Source organism: Homo sapiens, chromosome 1, assembly GCF_000001405.40.
Source record: "Homo sapiens chromosome 1, GRCh38.p14 Primary Assembly".
NCBI classification, from domain to species: Eukaryota; Metazoa; Chordata; class Mammalia; order Primates; family Hominidae; genus Homo; species Homo sapiens.
In genome coordinates this window covers 71061227-71081316 of record NC_000001.11, presented here as the reverse complement: position 1 = coordinate 71081316, position 20090 = coordinate 71061227, and the positions used below count along the sequence as shown (strand labels likewise).

Sequence of the window (20090 nt, the reverse complement as noted above, 5' to 3'; positions counted from 1 at the left end):
CCCACCTGTAGGGGGCTCTCCGAGGCTTCTAGTGCCACGAAGGCCTCCTGCCTGGGTTGTCCTTATGGCGCCTGTGAGTTTAGTTCTAGAAAAGATATTTGTATTTTAACTTTTCCATCTAACAAACAGTAGCACAGGCATCTTAGTCTGGACAACAACGTACAAGCTGAATTCCTGGCTAGTTCCCTCATTATCAAACCCTGACACAGTAGTAGGCGCGAGTCAGGCAGTGTGGGGACAGCCCCGAGTTGCCGAAAGTCCCCGGCCCGTTTTCCTCCTGTGAAGACATAGCTGCGGGTGGCTGTGCTGGTGGCGTTCAAGATGTCGACCAAGAATTTCCGAGTCAGTGACGGGGACTGGATTTGCCCTGACAAAAAGTGAGTTCAAGAAGGGTCCTGAATTGGGACGGAGTTTGTTAGTGGAAGCTTTCCGAGGTCCGTCCGGCATTTTCCTTTTTTATGATTTTCTGTGCCTTAAGACGGGTTGAGGCGGCGAACCGCCAGTTCCCTGGCGGGAAGAAGGCTCCCAATCTCCTCACGAGAGAGGTCTTTCCGGGAGCCTTTGTTCTAGATATGTCTTCAGCGTTTCCTCGACATTACCTCCGCAAGGTAGCCTCTCTTTTTAGAGTGCGAGATGGCCTACCTTTTTGCCCCCACCCCCCTCCCCCGCCCCGGCCAGGTTTTAGCGATAGGAAACCTCTCCAGTCAGGCCAGCTTGGTGTTGGATCTCCCCCACGTGACTTTTCTCTGCAGAACTTTACTCTTGTTCACGGAAAATATTGCTTTCTCGCACTCGTCCTTTTGCCTCTTATAGTTCACCTTGTTTTGTATTTTTACTCAAACTTTTCCTCCATACTATTTTCCCCTTTTCCGGAAGCTCTACCCTCTTCGGTTTGGGAAATTCTGACATTTTCTTTGTGGATCATTTCTCCACAAGAATTGGGCTTTTCGCCTCCTTAGAGCCGAAAAGGAGGGAAGAGGCCTGTGTTTTTGCCTACTCAGCCCTTAAGATGCCTGCAGCAGAGAAGCACGTGTGTTAGTGGCTCTGCTTTTTGACATTGTTGCCAAAGCCAGTACTCGACTAGATAGTTAATCAGATTTTTTTTGAAGGGTGCACAAATAGGTGTATCTATTCGGAAATAACATGGAAAATAATTTAATGTACAACTCATGTTCACATAAAAGCCTTTTATTTGTTGTACCTAAGTTAGCCACAAATAGGTTTTGATTGTAAAAAGCAAAAACTTTGAAATAAACCTGGGTTTAGTTAAAATTCTATTACTTATTTAACTGCTAAAAAAGGAATAGAATTTTTTTTTTAATGAAAACATGAAATAACATGGATAGGGTGTGTAAACAGTGACGTGTAGCAAATTCTAATTGGTGGCTATTGATAGTAATTTGATATTAAGATGACCTGAAGGAGTAGTTCAAGCCTAACAAATGATACTGAATAGAACCAAAGTTATATGTTATGGATAGTATTGCTCTGAGTGGTAAGACATTATTGAAAACGTTCAAAAGATTTAGAACAACAACTTCTGACTTTGTTGTTACCTGTAAAATAATGTGCTTTTGTCAGTGTCTTTAATGACAGCACACCCAGAGGTAGGACTCTCAATGAGAGTTCATTTCAACTCATTTACAAATATATGAATAGAATGTTGTTTGTACAATATGTTTAAATGCAGGATAAATTTTCAGAGTATATTTTCCATGCTTAATGGAGTTAAAAGGAATATTTTTAGGGGAAAAACTTAACCTAAATATTATTTAGAGTGTTTCACTTTAGTGTCATCCCATACTTCACATCTGTATTGTATTCTAGTATAATGCCTTAAAAATCAGCTTTTTAAAGTTTAAGCATTCCATGTTATCCAGAGCATTTAACATACTTTTACCAATATACACGTACACTTCTAAGGTCATGTGAGTGAACCAGTAATTCTTTAGGTTTGAGTTTGTTGAGTATAAGCATAAAGTCTTACTGTACTACATGTGTTGAGATTATTGGTTTTGGTGGTTGTGTCATTTTTTTCAGCGAAGTCTCAGAGGTTTGAGAAATGCCCTGTAAAACTCAGTTTTCTTACAATTATTGAATCTTTTTGTATTTTTAGTCAGTACAACCTATCATATTTGGTTCCTTAGCATCCTACCTACTGCATGTAAAAAGATAATTTCATTAAGATCCATGAAGCCCTCCTTGATTTATAAGTTTTTTTCCTCATTGGTCCACCGCTAGGGTTTAAAACTCCCTGGTAGCTTGTAAGTAATTAGTGAAGTGGAGTTAACTCTCACTTTCAACTTTGTAAAGGGATTATAACTAATGATATGTGCTAATGTGAGGACTTGAGGCAGAGATCCTAAGTAACTTAATCAAGATCACATGACTGGTAAATGGAGGATTGGGATATCTTATTCTGAATTTGTGGCTCCAATCAAGTATTTTTCCCCCAGTAAATTGTGTGGAGTTTTTTGTTGGTAACATTGACATTAACATGACTAAGATGGATTAGAAGTTATGAATTCCAGATATGTAGTGAGGACAAGTTAAAATGTAAAATTTTACAAATTTAAATTTTTATAAATGCTTTTTAATCTGTTTTTAGATGTGGAAATGTAAACTTTGCTAGAAGAACCAGCTGTAATCGATGTGGTCGGGGTAAGTATTTAAAGAAGATTCTATTTATACTGTATATGTATCATTTATTTATTTCTCCAGGTTCATATTGCATGATTTTTCTGTTTTCAGAGAAAACAACTGAGGCCAAGATGATGAAAGCTGGGGGCACTGAAATAGGAAAGACACTTGCAGAAAAGAGCCGAGGCCTATTTAGTGCTAATGACTGGCAATGTAAAACGTATGTTTTTTAAATTATTGTCTGCTCTTTCTTCCAAAATAATAGATCTGGCCACTACTTGTTTATATTACAGCTCTTATTAGTGACATTGACAAGCCAGGGTAACCTTTTAAATCCAAGGTATTGTTATTCAGTCTCATCTTTAAGTATAGTATAAAGAAGTTTTAAATTATTCTTTGCATTTTTTAATGGTAATAGTTGTCACTATGATGGATTATGTATACCAGTAAACAAATGCTTATGGTAAGCTCAAAACCAATCGGGGGGTGGTGGTACTTAAAAGTACTAAGGCCTATTACTTCCTTTATTGAAAAATCCCAATTTTTAGACTGTATAGTTAGTGTGAAATACACCACAAAACTCATTTTGCCTGTTTACAAAATAATGTTAGATTCATAAGTTGTGTGCCGTAAGTAATTAAGTCTAATTATAGGTAGGTTTCTTAATGATTTTTATTTTCAGGCTTAGATTTAATTCTTCATTGATTTTTCCAACTTCCATCTTTTCTCTATGCAGATGAATCCTATGTGTATGAAAGAGGTCTAAATCAAAAAAGTATTAAATAAATTTCTCTTTTTGTTTGTTTGTATTTTTTGTTTTTGAGATGAGGTCCCACTCAGTCACCCAGGCTGGAGTGCAGTGGGGCGATCTCAGTTCACTGTAACCTCTACCTCCCAGGCTCAAGCAATCCTCTCACTTCAGCCTCCTTAGTAACTGGGACCACAGGCCCATGCCACCATGCCTGGCTCATTTTTTTATATTTTTGGTAGAGACAGGGTTTTACCATGTTGCCCAGGATGGCCTCGAACACCTGAGCTCAAGCATTCTGCCTGCCTTGGCCTCCCAAAGTGCTGGGATTACAGGCGAGGCATGGGCCACTATTCCTGACCCTAGAGTCTTAAATAAATTTCTGATCCTCAGGATTATAAATTTGTATTGGAAAAGTTTCCAGCTACAGATTTGGTCACTGGATTTGGTATGCTTTGGAATTCAGTGCTTGAACTGAGACCTCAAAAAAATAAATTAATATTATTTATAGGGTATAACCATACTCTTTAAGGTATATTCAGAGACTGAGAAATTAGTGGAGCTGTTAATTTAAAGTTATATTTTTTCATAAGACATCAGAATTTCTATACAGGTTCAGTATCACTTACCTGAAATGTTTGTGGGTTCAGCATCCCTAATCTGAAAATCTGAAATGCTCCTGTGAGCGTTTCTGTTGAGTGTCATGTCCTCTCTCAAAAAGTTTTAGATTTTGGAACGTTTTTGGATTTTGGATTTGTGGATTAGTGATACTCGACCTGTGGTTATAATTTGTCATTTACTTCTCAAAATGACAGAGGCACTTTTCATACTATATAAATTTTGCTTCTCTGCTTAAATGGTTCAGTCCGTTGTTGGAACCCACATTTACTCTTCAGGCCACTGTACATTTTCTTTGTTTACATTACCACTTAATAAACATTTCTTTGACAGTGGTTTCATCCTAGTTTTTATTTTAAAATTGTAAAATATCTAAAAATTTGATATTCATCTATATTATAGCCTACTAATTTAGTATTTTTCACTTCTAAAGTTGCAGCAATGTGAATTGGGCCAGAAGATCAGAGTGTAATATGTGTAATACTCCAAAGTATGCTAAATTAGAAGAAAGAACAGGTATGATAAAACCACATTGTAACTAAATGATTTTTTTTAAAGCACTAAATATTGAAACGATAATTGTATCACCTTCGAGTAAGAGCCACAGTAAGTGAGGATTCTGTTTATTCTGCCCTGAATGTTTGTTACTGGGATTTTTTTCCCCCCATACACACATACAAATCTTTTGTTTCACAATTTATAAAATAACAGTGTTAGGGACCTTTATCCTAACAAGGAGGGACATAAGAATACTTTCAGAAATATTCTCCTCCTCTCCCTTTCACTGGTTTGCATGTTTGTTATTAGTAATGATATAATGATACCATTTTTAAATTCTTTTGATAGCCTGCTGTGACTTAAAGGGCAAAGCCACACCATTTAAAGTGTTCTTCTAAAGCTTTGGCAGTAATTCTGAAACTTAAGCTATGTGCTAGATTATCTGAAAAACTTTTTCAAATATCGATTGCAAAATGCAGAACTGTTAAAGTTATTTGGCGGTGGGTTTCCAACATCTGCAGGTTTTTTGGATGGTGTTTGATAATCATTGGCCTAAATAATAGTTGATCATTGGCTTTGTATGTTACTGGTGAAATGAAAATGTTTACCTAATAGCATATAGTTTTTCCATTATCACCAATTAGCCCAACCACATTATCTGTTTACTTAAAATCTGATTTTGTCTTTCAACTGCTTATATGTCACATGATCAAAGGATTCCTTCTATATCTAGTCACCCTGTCAGACTTAGGCTTGGTGAACTGCTTCCCTGTTTTCTTTGCCTCTCTAACTTTAGGCCGTTTTCATTGTCTGTTTAGTTTCTAGGGATCAGAGGGCCACTGTTCAATCTTTTCGACCTAGCTCTTCCAGACTTCAACAGAAATTCTACTTTTATCCCCCCCCACCCCTTTTTTAAAACTTACATTCTCATATGTGAGAACATTATAACATAATGTCCTTGATCCCCCCTTCCCCAGCCCAACCGCCACTTTCAACCCTCAAATCCTGCCTTATTCTTAGGAAGTGATTTTGCCTTTCCACCGATTGGGTAAGTTAAGGCCTTCTGACAAGGATCTCGTTTTTTTCTTCCCTCACCTAAGGTATGCACCGTACCTCCTTCACCGCCCCCACCAACCCCCGTTTGATTGATTGTTTATTCTGTCTCCTTTGCAGGTTTCTCTTCTTTTGGCCACTGATGTTGGGATTCTTCGCAGCCATCCCTGGCCCTCTTTCTTTCCTCTATTTTCATGGTGTTTTCTTCTAAGCCCAAAGTTTAAGTAACTTTGCCATGATAACCCAAGTTTATGTCTCCAGCTCAGACTTCTTTGACCCATATATCCAGCTGCCTATTCAACATTGCCATGCAAATGTCAAACTCATTATATTCAAACTGAATTTGTGATTTTACCCCTGGGACCTGACCCTCTTCCAATGATCTCTTTCTCATGATTAGTACCACTCACCATACATTTATTACATAAGCTGGAAATCTAGATGTCCTTCTTAGCCTAAATAGCCCTTTCTTGATATCTCCCATACCCCAAAAATTCTTTTCCATTACCACCCTAGGCAAAGAATTACTATGTTTTGTGGAAAAATAGCCACCTAGCTGGTTTCTACATGTTTTTATTTCCAAATTTAAAATCCTTTTTTAAAAAACCCATTTTGATTGCTTTTAGGATAAAGTCTAAAATCTTTTTAACAGTTTCAAAACTTAAAAAAACTTTGACCTATTTCCTGACTCCTTTATAGTTTCATTATCACAAGAACTATAGTTTAACAGAGAAGTAAGCAAATTTTATTTGATAACTTCTCACTTTTCTTATTGTCATTTTTCAGTCATTCTGGTGTCTTGAACCTTTCTCACTTCCCTTGCTACAAGTATTTGTCTTTGCTGGTAACAGTTGAAGGTGTGAAATAACTTACTCTGTTGCTTTCCGCTTTCTTTTGGCTATTTGTAATAAAGCAGTGCAGGGTTTGGGGAGCATTTCCTAAGCATGAGACAGGATATGAATAAAAGAGAATGTGATTCACTACCTCTGAAAGATTGCTGCTGGCTTATCCTGCATAATTCCATCAAATTGTTCAGTAATTTACTTCTCTGTTTCAGGATTTAGGATTATTTTTGTTTTTGTCAGCTTTTTTTTAAAAAAAAAACCATTAAAGATAATGGCATAAAAACAAACTTAGTACATTGTGATTTTTATTCTTTTGGATTCTTTCCTTAGAATATGTTCTCAGGAGTTGAATTAATTGTTCAGGGTGTAGAATCACAGAGTTTTCCTGTTAGTGCCTTAGTTCTTCCTTTGAAGTACATGTTATATTCATCCCCCTTTCCCGCTTTTTTTCCATTGTCACAATCTTGATCCAAACATTCATTTTAAACCTGTGTTTGATTCTTTCTTGGCCCTTGCTCAGCTTTTTACATTATACTGTGAGACAAATTTGAAAATATATTCATTGTAAGACTTACTAAAATCTACGGAAATTCTTGGTTGCTTTCTAAAGCTTTCCATAGAAATTCAAATTCATTAGATGATTCCAGAATTGTGTTTTCTGTATTCATTCCTTGAAGACATTTATAGGCCACTGTGCAAGGTGCTGGGGATACCTAGGTGAGCAAAAGAGTCTTACAGCACCAAAGATTAATGAAGTCCTCTTTAGGAAAGCTATGCTTAAGCTAAGAAGTGAAAGATGAGTTACCTGAGTAATGGATTAAACACTCTTCTTTCTGTTTGTGGAGAAGTAATTAGGAGAGGTGGCGGCAAGAGTGGAAATAAAACCAATTTATACAGCATTATCTGAAGTGCTTGAAATTAGTAGAATGACGGAAACATACATATCATTCCATTGATTCCACTATCTCAGGTATTCAGTGAAAATGGTATGCTTCAGTTTTTTCACGATAGGGAGCTAGTGTATTTTCCATTTATACAGAGTTAATGAGCTAGATTTATATTGTATGGGTTCATAGAACATACCAATGTCTTTGTTGTCAGCAGACTATTTTGCTGCCTCTTAAAATAATTTTATTTACATACTTTTGAAAAATTAACTACTAGAGTTATAGTTCACTTTCTAATTTTACTATATTTTTGAGCTTTCCATATTTGTCATATTACTTTTCAGTTTTTTCCTATGTAAATTATTTCCAATTTAGATCCCACGTATGTTTAAAAATATTTTTATTAACTTCCAAGTATTTTGAAGTTTTCACTAGTACAAAGTATAATGAAGAAAAGATGCTATATTAGTGTGGGTTTTTTTCAGAAAGTGAAATTTTAAAAATATTTTTTTAAATATGATAGGCAAATTTTAAGTTACAAGTCCTAATTTTTATAAAATATTTTTATTATAAATCTATTTAATATTTTGCTGATGAATGAAGTCCCTAAGTCTGGAAATCACCGGCCTTATTGTACTGATACTGCTCTGGAGTATGTGACCAGTTAGATTGTATTACTCTTGATCAACACATACCTCTTTAATTTTCAATGGGAGACTTTTTCAAAATATGTCAACTCACTTTTCCTAAAACTAGCTCATTTTCTTTAATTCCAGTCTCTCCTTTAAGCTTATGTCAGAGACCTGCCAATTGAATTGTATACATTGGTTGTGACATGAGAGAATAGTGGTTTGCTAATCTCAACTACTTTTTAATAGAATCATTTAATTTCAAAATTTACTGGCTACTTCAGAGAACCTGTGTGACTTTTACCTATGTGTTAAAACCAATTAAACCAGGGCCAAAGGATGGCCTTTATTGTGTTATTGTGTTTGTCTGTGTAATTAGGAATTTTCCAAGCTCTAATAAGGCCTGCTACATTTTAAAGTAGCAAAATTTCAGAATATCAGAAGATTTCAGACTATTTGCAGTTGGTAAACAGTGGAATTTAATGCTTGGTTGTTACTGAGCCCACCCTTCCCAGAAGAATTACGATTAACTGTAGAGGAAAGTCCTTTAAAACTTGGTTATAGCAGAAGTTTGAGATGTTTTCCACCAATACTTTCTATGAATTAAATAAGTCATGTAGGGCAATTTGGAATTGAAAAGAGCTAGAAGTACAGCCATATGACGTTACAACTAAGTTCTCTGTATTTTCTGTGGTGATTTCTAATATGCTTTCTAAAGACTAGTAATTTATTAGATGGGTAGGCAGCCATTGTTGATTAGATGTTTTTTGTTGTCTGGAGATTTGGGCATGATGTGTTTATTATTTAAATCAATTGTCATAGGGTAACAATTTGTGCCCTCTTTTTTAAGGATATGGTGGTGGTTTTAATGAAAGAGAAAATGTTGAATATATAGAAAGAGAAGAATCTGATGGTGAATATGATGAGGTAAGCTATATTTTGGTGTTCAGGTTGAATATAAATTAGAAAAACAGAAAAAATTCTTAAATGCAAAGGAAAACAAACTTTTTTTTAAGTGCAATTTGAGTCTTCAGCAACTGATCATTTTCAGGAAATCATAAATATCTAAAATAATTTTTTAGAAAATGTATTAAGTTTAATGCATTATCAGCTGACAAGCATTTTGAAATTGTTTTTCTCTAGTTTGGACGTAAAAAGAAAAAATACAGAGGGAAAGCAGTTGGTCCTGCATCTATATTAAAGGAAGTTGAAGATAAAGAATCAGAGGGAGAAGAAGAGGATGAGGATGAAGATCTTTCTAAATATAAGTTAGATGAGGTGAACAATTTTCTTGTCCTATTTCCCTTTTGTCTTATTGGAGTTATACCATAACATGAATGCTTTTGACAGCCTCAGACACTTGGTGAAAATATATTCTGTGTTTTCATTTGTTCTCACAAAGGTTTTGGATTTCCACTCTGCCAAGTACTATTTGTACTTGGAACACTACTGTTCTGGAGATACAGTGGTGACCGAAACAGAACCAGTTTTCTCTTACACAGTTCTAGAGGAGGAAATATATAAATAGGTAATTTTGATAGCAGTAACGTTATGAAGACACATGATGTGATAACAGTTTAAAAGCAACTTTGGTTTTGCCGATGGATAATGTCTAAGGAGGTGAAGTTTGAGCTGAAACTTGAATGATAGGAAGGAGCCAGCAATAAGAGCCGAGGTGAGAGCACATTTAGGCAGAGAACAGCAAATACGGGTTCCCTAAATAGGAGATAAGCCAGCAGCCTTCAAAAATACCATACATAGGCCAGTATAGTTAGAGCAGAGGGGAGAATGAGATGAGGGGGACAGCACACATTTCAGGTCTGGTGATACTTGTTCTGTCAGGCCAGAGTGTAAGTTTTATGCCATGTTAAGGGTACCTTAGAGCCTGATCATAAGAGGTCTTGGAATGCAACTAAAGAAATAATAAGCCAGTTTTGAAGTTTTTAAGAAAAAAGTGAGATGTGTTTATCTGTCCTGTGTTTCAGAGTGATGACTGTCAGTATATTGAGATACTAGAGAGGCAGAATGGATCTTCAGATTTGAGGAGACCAGCTAAGAGGTTACTATAATATGCTAGAGAATAAGGAACAGAGTGTCTAAGACTAAAAATGGTGATTTCAAGGACTTTTAAGGAGGTGGACTTGAAAATTCTTGGGTGATGCATAAGTGTGACAGAAAAAGTGTGTATGGCCTCCAGGTTTATGTCTGTGCAATACCTGAGACAAAGTTGTCAAGTCTCTATTTGAGATGAGTTTAGTAGGTGAATTTTAGAATTCAGAATTAATTTGCTGAGATACCTGTGATATATGCATATGGAGGTGCTCAGTACACCTAACTGTTTTATCTTTCCTGGTAGGTAACACTAATATCTAAATGTCTAATTATAATTGAATTTTTGTTAGGATGAGGATGAAGATGACGCTGATCTCTCAAAATATAATCTTGATGCCAGTGAAGAAGAAGATAGTAATAAAAAGAAATCTAATAGACGAAGTCGCTCAAAGTCTCGATCTTCACATTCACGATCTTCATCACGCTCATCCTCCCCCTCAAGTTCAAGGTCTAGGTCCAGGTAAACGGGTACAGGTCAAGGGTAACACCAGTCAAAATGTCAGTATCTAACTTTTTTATTTATAAATTTTGTTTTTCTTGACGAAATAAACTTTCCTTTTTATTTTAAAAATTTAATTCAAATCAACTTTTAAAATAATTTTTCAGCTTAGTACCATACAGTTGTTGTCCAGTATTTTTAGAAAAGTAAAGTCTTAGCATGAAACTTCCTTAACCTATTTTAGCCTCATGCTTTTGACTAAAATAGACTTAAAAACTGAATTAAATTTTTATATACACTTATATTTAATTAATCTAAAGAGATAGCTTACATATAGAAATTAAGTAAAGGGGAGATCTGTATTTTCATTCAAGATGTTAAAGGCTAGCACAGAAATTTTCTAGGCATTAAATCATTGCTTATTACATAATGTTTTTAATAGTTTGCTTTGATATCAGTATTGTGAATAACGGAGCAAATTCAGCCATATTAGTTCTGTTGACTTCATGCTCATAATTTTGAGAAGTCCAGGCGTAAACTAAAACTCTTTTGGTGTACTTGAATATTGTTTGTTGATGTAAAATATGTAATCTCTGATTTTATAGTTAACAATAAAAATAAAATTTTAGGTGAGTGAAAGCAGTGATTTAAATTTAACAGTGTCCTCTTGAAAAACCTTAATCACAGTTAAGTGATGGCATGGGCAATGAATTTTAATCATATTTAGGAATAAAATACTAGATATTAGTGTATAACAATTAGATATATGTTAATTGAGCACTACAAAGCCTGAAAGCTTAACAAAGTGGGGCTATAACTAGTAATTTTTTGGTAAAAATATAGTGATCTTTTTCTACAGGGTATTATTATAAGGGACAAATTATAGTTGTAAATTAGATTAATGAATTTTGTGAGTTTTAAAATTTGTACGAACCATGTCTCCCTTGTGTCATATTTTCCAATAATATAATTACCTAACAATGACAGAATTATACATTTTCCCTTTAATTCTCTAAGCATTGAGTAAACAGAAAAATATAGGGATGAAATACACACATGCCAACATTCAAAACTTTGTACTAACTAGAAACAAAAATAGAAGGGGATTTATAAAGGAAAATGATGGAGACATTTTAGAGAAATTAAGTATAAATCGCAACATTCTGTTTTCTTGGATGTATTCTGGGTAGCTTCTAGTTACTTGTAAACAAAGTATTCATTGTTTTTGTAATAAAGTGATAATGTTTTGTTTTATAGTTGAGTGGCTTTAGGGTAATTTAATCACCTGGAAAGTGATATTTTTTTAATTACCTTTTGTTACTAAATCTTATCTAATTTAAAATACTATGTTTTGAAAGTATATATCTTGTATAGTTATCTTTTTATATGAAAATGAACTCTAATACATATCTTTCTTTCAGTGTTCATATCACAAAGCTCAATTAAATGGTCCTGGAAAAAAAAAATCGTTCCATGTTGTTCCAGGTCCCGTTCAAGAAGTTCTTCCAGTTCGCAGTCAAGATCTCGTTCCAGTTCCAGAGAACGTTCGAGATCTCGTGGGTCGAAATCAAGGTGAATGAGGTAGCATCTCTCTGTAAAGCAGAGAGAAAAATATTTAAAGGCTGCAGAAGGTGTTGCTGCTTTTTTTCCCCTTATTTTGCTTCTACTTGTCGATTTTATTTTAGCATTAGAAAACTAATGCACTTGCCTCAGCTTAATTTTCTCACCATGAAATGTTTCCATTGCCAGCAGTGTGCCAAGACATTCCCATGATTGAAATCAGGTGGCTATTTTGCAATATGCAGCGTTTATTATTTTGGCACTAAGATGTTATGAAGTAGGAAGATGAAGCCAAGTCTTATCGCCACATCTCTAGTATATTAAGATTATATATGGCCAGGCACAGTGATTCATGCCTATAATCCCAGCACTTTGGGAAGCTGAGGTGGGAGGATCACTTGAGGCCAGGAGTTCAAGGTTGTAGTGAACCTTGATCACAGCACTGTAATCCAGCCTGGGTGACAGAGGAGTGTCTCAAAAAAAAAAAAAATTAATAGTAGTTCAAATAAAATTACATATGTAAATAAAAAGAAAAATTTTCTTCATTATTAAAAGGAAGAAAAATAACCCTGCCTCAAAACAGGTCCTGTTTTGCACGGCAGTTGTTTCAATATTTTCAGAAACAAATTTGCCATTTATATCAGATAAAGTTACTAGAGTACTGTATATACATTTTCCTTTCTAATTTTACACACGCTATTATTTATAGAGCACAAAACACTCAAAACTAAATCAGGAAGTATAGTCGGTTAGTTGAGATAGGATGTGGTCTTAAGTAGTAAACAGTGTTCTAAAGTTTCAGGTTGCATGTAGTCACATCTGTAGAGGGAAACATAATTTGAAAGATGCTCTTGCAGGAAATTTTTCTTTGTTTAGTCAAAATATGCTCTCTTTGTTTTTAAGTTAATTTATTATGACCTAAAGGCATCTAAAAAATAAATAAGAAAATGAAATTCCATATTTGTGGAAATTCATATTGAAGTCTAACTGTGGCTGTTTTGGTAAAAGTATTTGCTGCTTTGAATCAAATTTAGCATTAAAGGGCTGCCACAGTATAATCATGTTAAGGAGAAAAGAATGTTGTGCACACTTGCATTATAAGCCAATAAGAAATAGATAACAAGGCCAGGCTCAGTGGCTCACGCCTGTAATCCCAATACCTTGGGAGGCCAAGGTGGGCGGGCTGCTTGAGCCCAGGAGTTCAAGACCAGCCTGGGCAATATAGTGAGACCTCGTCTACTAAAAATAAAAATTAAAACAACCAGCCAGGCATGGTGGTGTGTTCTTATAGGCTGAGGTGGAAGGATCACTGGAGCCCTGGAGATTAAGGGTGCAGTGAGCCATGCTTATGCTACTGCACCACAGCCTGGGGAACAGAGCAAGATCCTGTCTCAAAAAAAAAAAAAAAAATAGAAGTAGAGAGCAAATTATTTTTTATTGTTACCATTATTTAGTAACAATATTTAAGCGCTTTATAGGTAAAAATCCTTAAGTTCTGGTATTCCCTTTGGGAACCATTATAATTAAGGTTTACAGAACACCCATCATATTCTTCCCAAACATTTTTTCATTGCTTGTAACTTTCCAAAGAATTCTCCTTTTGGGCTTTCTGGTTTTATTTTAAGCCCAAAGGTGAATTTTTTGGGAAGTTTGAGCTAAATTCCTTCAACCAAAATATACAAGTGAAGAAAAAAAATTTGTATTTAAACATTTGCACATTTACTTCTACCTGAAGCATGTGAATGTCAACACTTCATATTTCATAAGTAGTGGGTTTTCATAAAAATAGTATTGTAAATATAAATCATCTTAAAGTTAGTTTTTATTTCTTCTTGAATATTTAGCAGTTAAGTACAGTTACTAGTCTTTTGTTGCTGTGCCATATACCTGGTTTTTCCATAACAGTTTAATGAGTTGAATAATTCCACATGGAATTATGTTTATTTTCCTCAGGAAGTGGTATATAAGATACATATTTTAATCCTCAAATGGAAGGATGTAGTTCCTAAACGTAAAGTCCTGTTAATGCAGTTATCTGCTGATTTTATAATACTATAATATTTGTGTATACTTTGAAAAGCCTTAAAAAAAGTTTAAATTCTATTTTGATATAGTAAGCAGGGTTTTAATTACACATGATAGAATTTTAAAGAGACAAAATTAAAATGTTTAAGTAGAATGTTTTCATGGTTGATCCAGAAGTCTTCTGTTGAATAAGCAGTAAGTATTCTTCCTTATAAAATTTTCATAGTTGTTATAAATCCTGTTTATTTTTGGAGCTATCTGATAACTAAATAATCTTCCTTATTTCTTCTTTTAATGAAATGTTTGATTTGTTTCTCAATCAATGAAGATCCAGCTCCAGGTCCCACAGGGGCTCTTCTTCCCCACGAAAAAGATCTTATTCAAGTTCATCATCTTCTCCTGAGAGGAACAGAAAGAGAAGTCGTTCTAGATCTTCTTCATCTGGTGATCGCAAAAAAAGACGAACAAGATCACGGTCACCCGAAAGGTTTGGGTTTCTGTAGAAATAAGAATGGGTGTTCTTAAGTGTGTTTAATAGATAAAGTAAACTTTCCTAGTCAAGGGTTAGATTTTTATTATCTCTTGTGTTCCGACTTTCTACTTTTCAACTTTGAACTTCAAAAAAACATTACTTTGCTTATCCTTTGTACTTTGATCAGGTTGTTTAGAATTGTAGATCAAACCATTCTTTGATCATTTTATTGTTTAAATTTTTAGTTCCATTTATAATTTTTATAGCCAACTCTCGGTTATTTCTGTCTTTTGAGATTGCAATTCAGAAGCTGTATGTCGAAGTAATTTATGAGTTGACTTTTATACTTAGGCTTCTTTAAATACTAATAGTCAAGAATTCTAGAGCATCTAATAAAAAATTAACTTTCAGATCATTGGGAATCTGTCCTCATTTAAATATGTGTAAATGCATTTCCACAGCAAATTGCTTCATGCCCTTTGTCTATAAGGAAATTATTCCTTGTAGCTAATACATTTTTCATTTTGCAGTCCAAATCTTTTTTGAGAAAGGCCTATATTAGGTTACTTTATCTGTACTGACACTTTTAATATTGGAAGAATGCAACTGTCATCTGTCAGCCTTTTCTGCAACAGGCTAATTACTCAGTTTCATTAATTTTCTCTTTGTTCCCAATTATATAGTCATTTTAATGGCTTTATTTGTAGTCTTTGCAAATTTTTCATATTTTATTAGCTTGTGAAAATAAAGATTATGTAAAGTCTATTAATTGCTGGGTTCAGTGGTAGGATTATCTCATGATTCCTACTTGTACAGAATGATTAGTTTTGCTTCTTCACATTTTGGAGTTTAGATGTTAAGATTTCACACAGTCTTGTTTCTCTGCATTTGTTTCTTTGTAAAAAAAATTACTCTGTTTTTGAGTGGAATTCATTCTGTTGCTTTCTTACCACTTCTGCAAATTTTTATCTTAGCCACATATAATCCCCCTAGTTTGTTGTCATCTAAACTTAATGAACATGTTCTCTATTCCATAAGCCAGGTGATTGGTGAAAACACTAAACAACCCTGAGCCCAGGGCCAACCCCTACGGAACACCACTACTTTACCCAGGTTGATATTGACTTATTCATACTAGCTGCATGAATATAACCCTATAGCAAATTGTACAATCATCTTGTGTGACCTAGATTTCCAAAACTTATTTATGAGTATATTTTCTCATACACAGAAGCCTTGCTGTATCTTTTTTACATAATAGACTTCTTACACTTTCTACACCGTGTCACAGGGATTGGTTTAGTCACACTTCCATTACCAAGTTTATATGCTTTTGTTGTACATTTTCTGTAATTTTACACATTTTTGCAAGGCTTTTCTTTGATATCTTAAATAATTGAGAGGTGGCTATATTTTGAAATGAGATTCTTTTGAAATTGTAGAGAATTTTTTATTGTATTTATATGATAACTGGGCTCATATCCAAAGTCTAAACATCAGATAATTTTATGTGTGTAAGTTCCTATCTCAATTTTTAATTTTTTTGCTAGCATCATGGTACTGAATTTTGTATACTTTCACAGTCTTAAGAATGAATGCTGAGATTTAGCTCTAGCTTACTAGAATGCCTACTCTCTCCATTATGTCTTACAGACGCCACAGGTCATCATCTGGATCATCCCATTCTGGTTCCCGTTCAAGTTCAAAAAAGAAATAATGTATTAAAATTTACATCTTAAAAAAATCCAGTACAGTGCATGAAGCATATTTTTAAAGAAGTTGGTGTCTTACTTGGTCAGAAGTGCTAAATCTGCTAGTAGAGGTGCATGCCTTTCATTGCTTTTCAAAACAATACAGCTGTGTTTATTTGTGAAGTTAAAAGTAAATAGCATTTTAAGCCATAATGTCCCAAAATAGATGTTCTGTCATTCATTATTTACAACCATTTGCTTCATTTAAAACCATTTCAGCTATAACAAAGTACTTTGCTTCCTAATTTAAACCCATTTTTGTCATTTCCAAATACATCCTGTCCATTGGCTAAGACAGGATTACCTAGGCTTGCCTGAACTTTGGGCATGGAAGAAAGACTGGAAACTAGTTGGAAACAACATACTTATGGAAAAGAAAGTCAGCCTTTTTATGCTGTTAACAGATGTCAGAGTGATTCTCACCAAAAAAAGTTAAACTATGTTGTAAGCAGCCAACTGTAAATGTCTATTTTGAAATTCCCTATGCTAAGGGTGCCTTAGAATCATTGTGTCTCTTTTATCCAGCTTTACTTTTTTGCTCCACATTTAATGCAAAAGAATCTTGTGATGTCTACAAGGAGAGAAGTGGGATATATTTTCCTTTCTGACACATAATTTGGGGCAAAAAAGAAAGTCTTAAGAGTTTATCTTTTCTCTGCTGATACGGTTGCTTGATAAAGACATCTCAAAATGTTTACCAATGTTTTAAGAAGCTTTGTGTGATATTCTTCCAAATGTAGTTACCAAATATAATATGGTAGAAAAGGCTAAATCATACTTAATGAGCAAATTGAAGTAAGCTTTTAAAGTATATTTCTCTTTTGGTGAAAGGCCAATGGAGACATTGTGAATTTAAGTGAACATTTGCCTCAAGATGTTAACTATAAACACACTGCATACAATTTTCTTCTGAATAACAAATGAATGCTTATTGCTGCATGATGTAAGCAAAAGTCATTATTTTTCCTATTCATTTGAAATAAGTTATGGCTTAAAATGCTTTTGGAGTTTATTTCTCAAAATTAAAATCTGGTCACATGAGCTTTAGTTTGTTTTCTGGTTTAAAAAATAAAAAGGTTTCTCTTAACAGTATTTCCAGTGACAATGCAAGGTAAGTATATCAAAGGAAATCAACAGTTGTGCTTGGGGGCTTTTTGTTATGGGATATTGATTTCTTGTTTTTTTTCCGTAACATTGTCTGCTGCAATTTAAATAAAAATTACGACATTTTAAGATATTTCATAGACAAACCAAACAAAAATATATGTTTTTACTTTAAAGTGAATGTTTTTCTCTTCAGCTGATCTAAAAATGAAAGCAAGATATCTTATGTAGAAATATTTTGATAATATTTTTACAGTGAGCTTTCCCATGTTTTTATGTCTTAAGTTTCTTTGCTGCGTTTATGTAGGTTGCACAAGAACTTTTACTCACTTGTAATTGTGCCTCAGACTTTTTGAAAGTCTACCTTCTAAATTGCCCCGACGATCTAGATTCTACATGTTACCATTGGTTTATTCTTGTGCTTTCTGTATTTAAAACTTTGGCTGTACTAAGCAAATGCAAGGTTATAATTTAGCTAATAGTAGTTTACAGACAATTCTGATGATTATGATTTCATTTGGTTTAACTAAGCTGTACTAGTTCATTTCATAAGGAAATGATACTGTAGACAAATGTAAATAAAGCCTGTGAGTCAAGCATCAAGTGGTGTTTGTTAGAAATAAACTAGAGATTTTTAAACTCTGATCTAATGTTCATTTTTAAACTAATTACAGTTTTCTGTTACCTTTGATTTGTTAATTTTTTACACTCTTTATATTCACCTACCTTTTATATATGAGTGCTTGGTATTTTAAATTCCAAAGCCATTATCACTGCAACCTCAGAATTTTTAATTTAACCTTTTTTTCGTTTTAAATAGAGAGCTCCTAAATTAGTTGCACACTTCTTGCCAGAACATTACATCCCTCATTCCATGTGGTAAAATACCATATCGTAGTGTGCTTCCTGAATTACTCTTAAACTGTCACCTTATATAAAGCACTCAACTGTCAGCTTAACAGCTAAGTTTTCTTAAGTTTCTATTTGGAGTCCTTTCATCTAAACAATATTGAATGATATCTGGTAATAAATGTCCAAGTTCAGAACTAGATCTAAATAGAAGATCATCTCTAGGCACAATTACCAAGCTAAATTAGATCTCTGAAACCATGTCATCTCCCCTTCTTGCTATCTTGTGTACATAGCCAGTGTTGTGGATGTTGGTAAGAAGGTAGGGAATTTCTCCACTTTGCCCCCTGTTTTTGACATAAGGTTTAAATGTTTTTTAAATAGAAATACCCTCATGGCTTTCCTGACCTGGAAATGGTATTTCTATTTCTGGGGAAATTGAGTAGACAGGTTTAACTAAAAGACAGTTTCGTGTGTGTGTGTGTGTGTGTGTGTGTGTGTGAGAGAGAGAGAGAGATTTGCAGGCATTATCTAATTCTCCCTATGATCTTGTGAGAGTATATACTCTTGCATATCTTGTGTTTTGCGAAAAGGAGGGTTAAAGCACGGGGAAATTAAAAACTTGCCCAAGGAAGCCACAGGAATAGCAAAGTAGGGATTCACCCCCAAACATGATGGGAAATTTCAGTATTATGTGTAATAAAAGCCAAAACTCTTTTGAGAAAATAAATGTGAAATTGTTAAGCCCGATAGTCAGATATTTTTTAGTCTGGTAATTTGGTAGAGAATATATAATTTCAGCCAATTATAGTCAGGGAGGTTAGACAAACACTATTTTGGATAACTTTAGATTTAAAGAAAAGTTGCAAAGATTGTGCAGACAGTTCTCATATATCCCCACTAATTTTCTACAGTCATTAGCATCTTAAATTGCCATGTGTGTATATTTCTCAAAACCAAAACCAGCGTTGGTATGTTACTATTAATTACATTACAGATTTTACTAGAATGTTATCATTTTTCCCCTTAAGATATTCCATAATCTAGAGTACCATCTTGTACTACTAATACCTTCCTGCTCTCTTCTCCTCTATGACAGTTTTTCATTCTTTCCTCATTTTTGATGATTTTGACAATCTTAAGAGAGTACTAGCCAGGTATCCTCTAGAATATCCACCACTGCATTCTGTATTTGACTGGTTTTTCTCACGATTAGACTGGGATTATGGGGTTTTGCAGAGAATACCACAGAGGAAAAGTGTCTTTCTTGTCACTTCCTACACAGAGGAAAAGTGTCTTTCTTGTCACTTCCTGTGCAGGGTACATCATAACCCTGTGACTTCACTGGGAATGTTAACATTCGTCATTTGGTTAAGGTAGGGTTTGCCCTGATTCACCATTGCAGTTACTGTTTCTCCTTTTACCTACTGTTACTCTTTCAAATCAGGTTATACTAAGTGTAGTCCATCATCATGATAAGACGGGGGAATTAAGTTCCATATCCTTTTGGGGTTAGGTATCTACACAGTATTTGGAATTTTTCTATAAGAAAGATTTGTCTCCATTTCTTTTATATATATACTCAGTTATATTTATTTTATACTTGTTACTTATTTTTCATATTGGCTTTTGTGACCTTTGACAAGCCTTTATTCTCTGTTAGAGGGGAAAGTAGATGGAGAGAGGGAGGGAAGAATTTTTGGAGAGGTATCAAATAGGAGAAAACATGGGGTCTAGAGCCATGACAAGGCGGTGGGGGGTGCCTTCAATATTAAATGAGAGCCTCCACAGTTAATTACAGTATGAGGAGGGATGGGTCCAGATTGCATTACAGCCAAATTTGTAGTCATTGAGAGTGAG

General features: G+C 34.4%; 1 protein-coding gene, 1 long non-coding RNA gene and 1 other non-coding gene across 5 annotated transcripts in view, besides 2 other annotated features; 2 read left to right on the top strand and 1 right to left on the bottom strand.

Annotated features, from left to right (window-relative positions):
- Positions 43–332: an enhancer, noted in NCBI's record as "active region_1198". NCBI's record gives its function as "activates an Ori minimal core promoter by ATAC-STARR-seq in GM12878 lymphoblastoid cells {active_cell/tissue: GM12878}" and the evidence as "EXISTENCE:reporter gene assay evidence [ECO:0000049][PMID:35858748]".
- Positions 282–18026, top strand: ZRANB2 (zinc finger RANBP2-type containing 2). Of its 3 annotated transcripts, NM_005455.5 has the most exons (11): positions 282–377; positions 2609–2661; positions 2752–2860; positions 4440–4522; positions 8769–8845; positions 9062–9196; positions 10321–10490; positions 11955–12041; positions 14383–14541; positions 15565–15639; positions 16180–18026. In NM_005455.5, the coding sequence occupies exons 1-10, from the start codon at positions 322–324 to the stop codon at positions 15596–15598; spliced, it is 963 nt and encodes a 320-aa protein (NP_005446.2). In that variant the 5' UTR covers positions 282–321; the 3' UTR covers positions 15599–15639; positions 16180–18026. The 3 variants fall into 3 exon arrangements, with proteins under 3 accessions (NP_005446.2, NP_976225.1, XP_047290689.1); NM_203350.3 differs by lacking the exon at positions 15565–15639; XM_047434733.1 differs by having other exon boundaries at positions 15565–18026.
- Positions 12765–12814: a silencer, noted in NCBI's record as "silent region_991". NCBI's record gives its function as "represses an Ori minimal core promoter by ATAC-STARR-seq in GM12878 lymphoblastoid cells {active_cell/tissue: GM12878}" and the evidence as "EXISTENCE:reporter gene assay evidence [ECO:0000049][PMID:35858748]".
- MIR186 (microRNA 186) lies at positions 13601–13686 on the top strand. Its single transcript, NR_029707.1, has one exon. It is a non-coding gene; the product is annotated as a microRNA 186 (primary transcript).
- ZRANB2-AS1 (ZRANB2 antisense RNA 1) overlaps positions 14133–20090 on the bottom strand; it is a 20679-nt gene continuing 14721 nt past the window's right edge. Inside the window, exon 3 of the long non-coding RNA NR_038420.1 lies at positions 14133–14551. This is a non-coding gene — a long non-coding RNA (ZRANB2 antisense RNA 1). The remainder of the gene's footprint in view (positions 14552–20090) is intronic.

Bases quoted from the DNA above. Each gene is read 5' to 3' on its own strand.
- ZRANB2 (NM_203350.3), top strand. From the start codon at position 322: ATGTCGACCAAGAATTTCCGAGTCAGTGACGGGGACTGGATTTGCCCT. The intron at 10,491-11,954 runs GTAAACGGGTAC...ATGTTGTTCCAG, and splicing joins AGTTCAAGGTCTAGGTCCAG to GTCCCGTTCAAGAAGTTCTT. The intron at 12,042-14,382 runs GTGAATGAGGTA...CAATCAATGAAG, and splicing joins TCTCGTGGGTCGAAATCAAG to ATCCAGCTCCAGGTCCCACA.